This window comes from Homo sapiens, chromosome 5, assembly GCF_000001405.40.
Source record: "Homo sapiens chromosome 5, GRCh38.p14 Primary Assembly".
Classification (NCBI taxonomy): domain Eukaryota; kingdom Metazoa; phylum Chordata; class Mammalia; order Primates; family Hominidae; genus Homo; species Homo sapiens.
The window spans coordinates 79,059,267-79,069,674 of record NC_000005.10 but is presented as its reverse complement, the minus strand read 5'-3'; the positions used below and the strand labels follow the sequence as shown (position 1 = coordinate 79,069,674).

Sequence of the window (10,408 nt, the reverse complement as noted above, 5' to 3'; positions counted from 1 at the left end):
AGGCTGCCCGCTGGCCTCGGAGCAGGCGCCTGCGCCCTCGGCCTCGGCCTAGTCATGCTCCGTCCCGGCGCGCAGCTGCTGCGGGGCCTCCTGCTGCGGAGCTGCCCGCTGCAGGGCTCCCCCGGGCGCCCGCGCTCTGTCTGCGGCCGGGAAGGGTGAGTGGGGCCCCGTCCTGCTCAGAGGCGACGGGGCGGCTGCGGGGGTGGGAGCCAGAGGCTGAGGCAGGCTCAGGGGTTAGGAGCGCTCTGGCCTCCAAGAAATAGGCCTTGATATATCTTCTCGAATTATCTTTTAATTATAAAGTGAAACAGTATCCAAAGGTTCCCCGTGTAAAGTCTCTCCTGCCCCAATCCCCTTGGCCAGTGAACAATTGTTAATAGTGTCTTCTGAATCTAACCAGAGACAGTCTACGCATAGGCAAACACAGGTCAGTATAGGTTTTCCTTTGGCTTTTTGACATCTTGCTTTTTACAATTATCAATATATCTTGGAGATTGTTCCATATCAGCACACACTGACTTGCCTTGTTCCTTTTAATGGCTGCATAGTTTTCCATCCTGTCAATATTCTACACTATCGTTAGTCTATTCATTAACATTTAAATGGTTTTTGGTTGTTTATTACTGCAAATAACGTGCATGTGAAAATTCTTAGGCATCTATCTTTGAGTACATATGGGAGTCGGTAGCAACAGTTTTTAAAGGTGAACTTGTTAGGGAAAAGGTTACGTGCATCTGAAAGATTGAAAGACAGCAACACATTCTCCAAGTGGGTGGCAAGAGTTTGCATGCGGCACACCAGTGTGTGTCTGTTTCCCACATCTTCCCTGGTTCCCAGAATAGCCCATTTTGTTATCTTTGCTAAATCTGATAGGTAAAAATGGCATGTCCTTGTTTTGATTGGTCTGTATTTAAATATGAGCAATGCTGAACATCTTTCGACTTCTTATATTTGTAGATTATTCCTGGTTGCCAGGAAAGGCTTGTTTATCAGCATCACTCAACATTATTATGAGTTGATTCGAATTTTATTTTATGTCCTATGACCTGAAATTCTGGAATCAGAAGACCTGCTTTTGAGTTCCATCTATCCATTCAACAAATATTTACTGGGTGTTGTGATGTGCTAGGTTTGTCTCCAGTACTGGGAATGCAGTAGCCACCAACTCACAGTTCCTGCGCCATCTGTTACACAGAATGTGACCTTACACTTCTGAGGTTCAGTTTCCTCATCTATAAAATGAGGATACTAATTTTGCTCTATATAACTCACAGGATTGCTGTGAATATTAAATAAGAGAATGCATGTGAAAGTGCTTTGTAAATTGTAAAGCAATGCAAAAATATTTATAATAATGATGTTTTTAATCCAGTGCAAAATAAAATGGAAATTTAACAAACAAACTGATTAGATAAATAAGATACAAATTTCAAGACTATCCAAAAAATTCATATTTTGGCTGAGTGTGGTGGCTCATGCCTGTAATCTCAGCACTTTGGGAAGCTGAGGTGGGCAGATTACTTGAGGCCAGGAGTTTGAGACCAGCCTGATCAACATGGTGAAACTCTGTCTCTAATAAAAATGCAAAAATTAACTGGGTGTCATGGTGTGCACCTGTAGTCCAAGCTGCTTGGGAGGCTGAGGCGGGAGAATCGCTTGAACCTGGGAGGCGGAGACTGCAGTGAGAACCGAGATTGCACCACTGCACTCCAGCCTGGGCGACAGGGATTCCATCTCACAAACAAAAACAAAAACACCCAAAAGTTGAGTTATTTCAATTGCATATTCTTTATATACCCAATTTCAAACTATCAAAAAATGTTTTATTTTGGAAAGCAGTTGAACAAGCATACAGTTTGTGCTTATCATTTCTAATACAGAAGATAACTGACCTGGGTTTTTTGCATGGCTCCTAAGTTTTATTTCAAATACTCTTATAAACATCCTCGACTACATTCAGAAGGATTTTAAGATAGTTATCCACATAATCAAAAACACTATACCTAGTCTGAAACCTATTATGGCATGCTGGGCCGAGGAAATACTATATATTTGATAATGCTTTATCATATGTTGCCAAACAGAACCTTCACAGCTCCGTTTTGCAAATGAGAAAACTTTGAGACCCTTGTGTAAATTTCTCTAAAATAGCTGTTCAGTTGGATTGGGGACTCAAACCCAGGTTTCCTGATCTTAAGTTCTCTTTTGTTGTTGTTGTTTCAACTGACCACTGTCCTGAAAGAAATAATTCTTTCTTTTGAACACACAAAAAAGAACCTTTAAGATTATTATTTTTGTCACCACTATAATGGTTTCAACTAAAGTACAAGATATGCCCAGTCTGTTTAAAAATGGATTTCCGTCCAAAGTAGTTGGGTCATATGTACATTATTTTTTTCTCACACAGCATACAAAGAGACATTAATAGTCATCTAAAAACCGGTGAAACAAAACTGCTGAAACATGTTGTGGCACCAGGAAATAAGGACATGCTCTAAGAATTATGTAGCCATGTCAAAAGCATACAGGAGTCAACTGAAAGAACCTCCTGCTGGCCAAATCTAGGACAATTTGGTATTCAAATAAATGATGACTAGTAATGGATTAGAAACCACTGAAAACAATAAATATCCATAAATTCATGTTAATATAAACAACCAACAAACAAGGGTGAAAGAAAATTACTTCCTTACAGTAGAATGCCAACTATTAAATATAATAGGAATGATGGGGTTAGGAAATAATCAATAGATGTTAAAGCCACTCAGTAAAAGTTTGATAAGGACCAGGATATTTACATGGTCTCAAAGTAACACTTCACATTATTACTTATACAAAGGAAAAAATGGTAGCTTTACTAGACAAATCAGACAGACACCACCTTAAGCAAGTCATCAGACAGAAACAACACCAATATCAGGACAAACCAACATCATACGCTTCTTAATCATATACACTGGGAAGGAGTCAACATCAGTTTCATGATGTTTTTGCCAAAAATGCATAACATAAGTCTCATCATGAGGAAACACCAGACAAACTCACAGTAAGAACTGTTCTATAAAATAACTGGCTAGTACTGGCCGGGCGTGGTGGCTCACACCTGTAATCACAGCACTTTGGGAGGCTGAGGCAGGCGGATCACGAGGTCAGGAGATCAAGACCATCCCGGTTAGCATGGAGAAACCCCGTCTCTACTAAAAATACAAAAAAAAAAAAAAATTAGCCGGGCGTGGTGGTGGGCGCCTGCAGTCCCAGCTACTTGGGAGGCTGAGGCAGGAGAATGGCATGAACCTGGGAGGTGGAGCTTGCAGTGAGCCGAGATCGTGCCACTGCACTCCAGCCTGGGCAACAGAGCAAGACTCCATCTAAAAAAAAAATAAAATAGAATAACTGGCTAGTACTCTTCGAAAATGTGAAGGTCATAAAACACAAAGGAAGTATTAGGAACTGTTCCAAATTAAAGGGGATTAAAGAGACAGAATCCTGGATTTGATCTCTGACTGGAAAAAAGTAGCTATAAATTGATTGGAATAATTGATTAAATTTAAATATGGACTATAGATAATAGTATATCAATGTTAAATTTCTTGACTTTGAAAACTGTACTGTTGTTATGTAAGAGAATGTCCTTTTTCTTACCAAACTAGCAAAAGAATATTTAGAAGTAACTGGGTATGATACCTACAATTTACTCTAAAATGTGTATACACATAGAATATACATATTATAATATACATATATGTATAGTCATGTGCCTTATAATGATGTTTCGGTCAATGATGGACCACATATACAATGGTGGTCCCGTAAGATTATAATGGAGCTGAAAAATTCCTATCACCCAGTGATGTCATAGCTGTCATAATGTCATATGCAACACATTGCTCACGTGTTTGTAGTGATGCTGGTTAAACAAACCTACTGTGCTGCCGGTCACATAAAGCTATAGCACATGCAATTACATACAGTACATAATGCTTGACAATGATAATAAATCACTGTGCTACTGGTTTATGTATTTACTACACTATACTTTAAATCATCATTTTAGAGTATACTCCTACTTATAAAATAAAAAGTTAACAGTAAAATTGGCTCAGACAGGTCCTTCAGGAGGTATTCCTGAAGAAGGCATTGTTATCATAAGACATGACAGCTCTGGCCGGGCATGGTGGCTCATGCCTGTAATCCCAGCACTCTGGGAGGCCAAGGCAGGTAGATCACTTGAGGTCAGGAGTTTAAGACCAGCCTGGCCAACATGGTGAAACCCCGTCTCCACTAAAAATACAAAAATTAGCTGGGCGTGGTGGTACGTGTCTGTAATCCCAGCTACTCGGGAGGCTAAGGCACAAGAATCGCTTCAACCTTGGGGGTGGAATTTGCAAAGATGGCGCCACTGCACTCCAGCCTGGGTGACAGAGTGAGACGCTGTCTCAAAAAAAAAAAAAAAAAGGAAAAGAAAAGAAAAAGAGATGACAGCTGTGTATGTGTTATTGCCCCTGAAGACCTTCCAGTGGGACAAGATTTGGAGGTGTGAAGACAGTGATATTGATGATCCTGACCCTGTGTATGCCTAGGCTAATGTGTGTGTTTGTGTCTTAGTTTTTAATAAAAAAGTTTGAGGCCAGGCACAGTGGCTCATGCCTGTAATCCCAGCACTCTGGGAGGCCAAGGCTGGAGGATCACTTGAGGTCAGGAGTTCAAGACCAGCCTGGCCAACATGGTGAAACCTCATCTCTACCAAAAACACAAAAATTAGCTGGGTGTGGTGGTGCACACCTGTAATCCCAGCTACATGGGAGGCTGAGGCAGGAGAATTGCTTGAACCCAGTAGGTGGAGGTTGCAGTGAGCCAAGATCAAGCCACTGTACTCTAGGCTGGGCAAAAGAGTAATACTCTGTCTTGGAAAAAAAAAAGTTTGAAAAGTTAAAAAAATATATATATTTTGTAATAGAAAAAAGGTTCCAGAATAAGGATATAAAGAAATAAAATATTTCTATATAGCTGTAGAATGTGTTTGCATTTAAACTGTTATTACAAAAATCAAAAAAATTTAAAAGTTTATAAAATAATGAAGTTACAGTAAGCTGTTAATTTATTATTGAAAAAAGAAAAATACATTTAAAAATAAACTTAGAGTAGCCTAAATGTACAGTGTTGATAAAGTCTACAGTAGTGTACAGTAATGTCCTAGGCCTTCACATTCACTCACCTCTCACTCAGACTCATCTAGAGCAACTTCCAGTCCTACAAGCTTGATTCATGGTAAAGTACCCTAGACAGCTGTACAATTTTAAATCTTTTTTTTTTTTTCCTTTTGAGACAGGGCCTCACTCTGTCTGCTAGGTCTGAGTGGAGTGGCGCACTCATGGTTCACTGCAGCTTCAACCTCCTAGGCTCAAGCAGTCCTCTTACCTCAGCCTCCCAAGTAGCTGGGACTATAGGCATGTGCCACCAAGCCTGGATAATTTTTGTATTTTTTATAGAGACGGGGCTTCGTCATGTTGCCCAGGGTTGTCTTGAACTCCTGGGCTCAAGCAATCTTCCCATCTCGGCCTTCCAAAGTGCTGGGATTACAGGTGTGCATCACCAAACCTGACCTGTTCTCTAGATTCTTTGAAAAAAAGAAGCTACTTGTTCATTTCTTTGGCTATAGTAGCTACAATGGACCAGAATCATTATATGGAATGGGGCTCAAACACCCCTCCCCCAACCAGGTTGCCTAAATCACAGTTTAGATGCTCCAAATTATTAAATCAGTATCATGCAAATCTCAGTCAGTGGGTGTTAAGTACTAGAGAAACGGGTAAGGGGAAGTGCTTTAGGCCAGAACTATAGCTACCATTGCCGATTGAAGTTCCCATTTTAACTTTCCCTCTTCCAGAGAGGAAAAACCACCCTTATCTGCAGAAACACAATGGAAAGACAGAGCAGAAACAGTGATAATTGGAGGTGGCTGTGTTGGTGTGAGTCTGGCTTATCACCTGGCCAAAGCAGGGATGAAAGATGTGGTCCTGCTGGAGAAATCAGAGCTCACGGCTGGATCTACCTGGCACGCAGTAAGAAAAGCACCCCAAACTGTCATAAGCGTGGAATTGTGCATGAGTAAAGTCCATTTCCTTCCCGTTCACAACTCCCAACTGTGAGCTCTTTAGAGTGCGTTCCCCTTCAATAGCGTTGGAAGTGCAGTTGTAGTTTAACTGGTGTACTTCCAGATGACAACCAATATTTATGATGTCTTTATCTTGAACAGATGGCTTCTGGATTCGAATCCTGGCTTTGCAATTTTCTACCCTTGTGTGACTTTTGGCAAGTTACATAAGTTTCCATTTTCTGATGTCTTAATAGGAATATTAATAGTACTTACCTAATAGGATTGTGATGAAGATTGAGTTAACATGTGCAAAATTATTAAACGCAAGGTATTGGATAATAAATGTCAGCTTTATATGGAAGGATACTGTCTGGGTGAGCCTGGATATGGGCCCAAGATCTTTACCTATACTCCCCTCACCTGCATTTGGTGGTCCTTTTATTTACTTATGGTTTTATTTATTTTTATTTTTTATTTTTTATTTTTTTTGAAATGGAGTCTCGCTGTTACCAGGCTGGAGTGCAATGGCGCGATCTCGGCTCACTGCAACTTCCGCCTCCCAGGTTCAAGCGATTCTCTTGCCTCAGCCTTCCGAGTAGCTGTGACTACAGGTGCACACCACCACACCCAGCTAATTTTTGTATTTTTAGTAGAGACGGGGTTTCACCGTGTTGGTCAGGCTGGTCTCTATCTCTTGACCTCATGATCCGCCTGCCTTGGCCTCCCAAAGTGCTGAGATTACAGGAGTGAACCACTGCGCCTGGCCTTATGGTTTTAATTTTATGCTGTGAGATGACAGTTTGGCCCCCTGAGGACTTGAATATGAGGACTGCAAAAGTGTAGCACAGCTTTTGTGTTACATGAGACACAGGCCAAGTCAGTCTTGCATTCTTCATGGTATGCATAATTGTTCCAGGGCTGCGCCATAATTGACTAGGCTTACCTGGAAAGCTGCCCAGGTAGATGAAGGGATTGACACTGCTGTCATATTGCCAAACCAGGGATTTCTGACATCATTTAGGGATGGGAGAGGAAGTTTTTAGGACTGCTGGTGCAGTTTTCTTTTGGGCAGCGTTAGCCCCTGCTCATCATCCCATTTCATCATTAGCCTTCCTTGGCTGAGAAGAGGGAACCTCACTTTGAGGGGCTTTTTGACATCTAGTATGTGCTCAAAGTATAGGGTGGAGAGTCTAGCATGAAAAGGATTGCCTGCTTCCAGCTGAATCTGGGGGAGAGTGCTGCCCAGACATAAAAGCCCAAAGACCTTGCCCTTGTGGAACTCACATTCTGGTGGGGCAGACAGAAAACACCTATCAATGCTAGAGAGTAATCACCATGAAGAAAAGTAAAGTACAGTCAAGGATGCAAAATGATGGAGGAGGAGAAGAAGGAGGTGCTAGGGAGGATGTTTCAAAGAGGCGACCTGCCAACAGAGACCAGGGAGCAGTGAGCCAGGGGGCCATGAGGCTATTCTGGAAAGATCATTTAGGCAGGGAAATGTAGGCAAGTGGAAATACCCTTCGAGGGAGGGCTTACACCCTCTCACCACTTCTGAATTGTTACTGAGGGCATACGCTTTAATGTTTGAATTACTTATTTGCTCACTTATATACTGATTTAATGTGACCTGCATTGGATTTTATTACTATTATTATTATCATTATTTTTTGAGACAGGGTCTTTCTCTGTTGCCCAGGCTGGAGTGCAGTGGTGCAATCATAGCTCACTATAAGCACAAACTCCTGGGCTCAAGCAATCCTCCCAGTTAGCTAGGATTATACAGGTGTGCGCTAACATGCCCAGCTATTTTCTTAATTTTTTTAGAAATGGGGGTCTCACTATGTTGCCCGGGCTGGTCTTGAACTCCTGGCCTCAAATGATCCTCCAGCCTCAACCTCCCAAGACTTTAGAATTACAGGCATGAGCCATCGCACCTGGCCTGGCCTGCATTTTAGAAGAGGTTACGGGATTCCTTGAAATTTTATTTCTTAGATGTCCCATGAATAAAAAGCAACATACCCTTAATCTAAAAGTTAACTACGCAAAATATTTTTTTCTTAAACACAAAGATACCAAAGTGAGTGGGGAAAGGCATTATCCTGCTTTGCATACAAGGTATTAGGCTATGGTTTACAAAATAAGGATCCATGCAATGTGAGTTCAAGGTGGAATCAGGCATCAGAAGCCAGGTTATTTGGCCCCCTTGGAATAAAAGACAGTTGTCCTAGGAAGTTGATTCTAGGGTTTTTTGCAAGTCAAAGATGCCTCCCTCTGAGCAGCAGCATGAAGAAATCCAACATATTAGGTGTTTGTGTGTGTGTGTGTGTGTGTGTGTGTGTGTGTGTGTGTGTGTGTGTTTGAGACAGAGTTTCACTCTGTCACCCAGGCTGGAGTGCAGTGGCGTGATCATGACTCACTGCAGCCTCAACCTACGGGCTCAAGCAATGCTCTCACATCAGCACCTGTAGCTGGGACCACAGCTGTGCACGACCACGCCTTGCTAATTTTTAAAGTTTTTTGTAGAGATGAGGTCTCCCTACGTTGTCCAGGCTGGTCTCAAACTCCTGGGCTCAAGCAGTCCTCCCACTTAAGCCTCCCAAAGTGCTGGGATTATAGGCTTGAGCCACTAAGCCTGGCCGCATTGATTTTTTTTTTTTTTTTGAGACAGAGTCTCACTCTGTTGCCAGGCTGGAGTACAGTGGCATGATCTCAGCTCACTGCAACCTCCATCTCCTGGGTTCAAGTGATTCTCTGCCTCAGCCTCCCAAGTAGCTGGGACTACAGGTGCGCACCACCACACCCAGCTAATTTTTGTATTTTTAGTAGAGATGAGGTTTCACCATGTTGGCCAGGATGGTCTCAATCTCTTGACCTCGTGATCTGCCCTGCTCGGCCTCCCAAAGTGCTGGGATTACAGGCGTGAGCCACCGCGCCAGGCTGATATTAAGAATTTTTAACACCGAGATATTTGTGGAGTAGATCTGAGAATAAGGAAGGTTGCAGAGCCAGCTAACAAGAGGCAGACTATAAAAATAAAGGCAGTTTCCCTGAAGCACGATATGTGCTCCATGAGAGAAGTGTCTGGAGAGTGTGGGAATCAAATGCTTGGAGAGGAAAGCACAGCTTGCAAAGTGAATCTTCTAAATGGAATCACAAATCCATAAATCCTAAGGTTTTAACAAGACTGCTTTGTCAGCTCATGATATACCTAATAGGATAGAGCATTTCATGTGGATGCAGGGAAACAAGAGAGGATGGAGTAAGAAGGAAGTTTTGAGCTTGGGATCCCGAGAAGGGGCTGCCCTTGGGGATGGTACCAAAGTAGATGTTTTGAGAGCTGAGGACTAAAGATTCAGGATGATCCATTTGGGGTGTAGGAGGTGATATAAGAACTTTCCATTTGTTTTTGTCTGCAAATGTAAGAAAGAAGTTAAGCTTTACTGATATTTATAAATAACCCTCACATTTGATGTGGATGATGTGTTGTGTATGATTTCAAGGTTGACTACGCGGGAGGTTGGCACTTCATGGTGGGAGTGTCCTCATTCTTTCTCTTGTCTTCCGTATACCATGACATGGTGCAGATTGCGTGCTATAGGATATCACCATTGTGATTAGCTTTATAGAAATAGGGCTTTAAATAATATCATGTGTGATGAAAGGGAGAGGGGTGAACTTTGGAGTGTTGTATTACATACAGGTTTCCTGGTTATCTACTAGCAGTAGCTAAAAAGTTGTGAATGCAAATGGCTGCCAGTGATTTCTACATAGCAGATTATATATTTAAAAAAATAGATGCAGCCTGTCCCTTCACAGAAAAAGTGATGCTTTCAGTAGGTGAGAAATAATTGCCTTTTGCAAAATAGTCCTGTTGGGAAAACAGCATTTTGAAAAGGGATGTTTGGAAATGTTGGTATTATTATTAGGTTTTCTGCCCCAAAATGATATGTATCACATAGAAAAACTCTCATATATGTGAGAAATAAACTTTTAATCCATTTCAATTTTTTTCTAAATGAGGAGTTTCAACAGGATTTGTTCCCATTTACTTAAAATACAAAAAATGCAATACCTTCCAACTAGTTTGTAACAACAGGCAGACACAAGAACATGAAATGTCATAGTCAAATGTGAAGAGAAACCTTCATATGGGTGTTGACTGAGGTAGAGGAAGGGGTGTCAGGATGCAGAGACACAGCCAATCGTGCACTTCTCTCACTTGGGTGTGTGCCTCACTGAGCGGTGTCTTCTGCAGCTATACCACCATTGAAAGCAGTCTCAAAATAACGTAAAGCCAGAACCAGGCCTTCA

General features: G+C 41.8%; 1 protein-coding gene across 5 annotated transcripts in view; it reads left to right on the top strand.

The window, feature by feature from the left end:
- Nucleotides 1-10,408, top strand: part of DMGDH (dimethylglycine dehydrogenase) — a 72,111-nt gene continuing 61,703 nt past the window's right edge. For all 5 annotated transcript variants that reach the window (NR_104003.3, NR_104002.3, NM_013391.3 and 2 more), the window contains exons 1-2: nt 1-155; nt 5,888-6,062. Coding sequence is in view for 3 of the 5 variants with exons in the window: in NM_013391.3 (NP_037523.2) it covers nt 55-155; nt 5,888-6,062 (276 nt within the window). In the remaining 2 variants the exon portion in view is untranslated. The remainder of the gene's footprint in view (nt 156-5,887; nt 6,063-10,408) is intronic.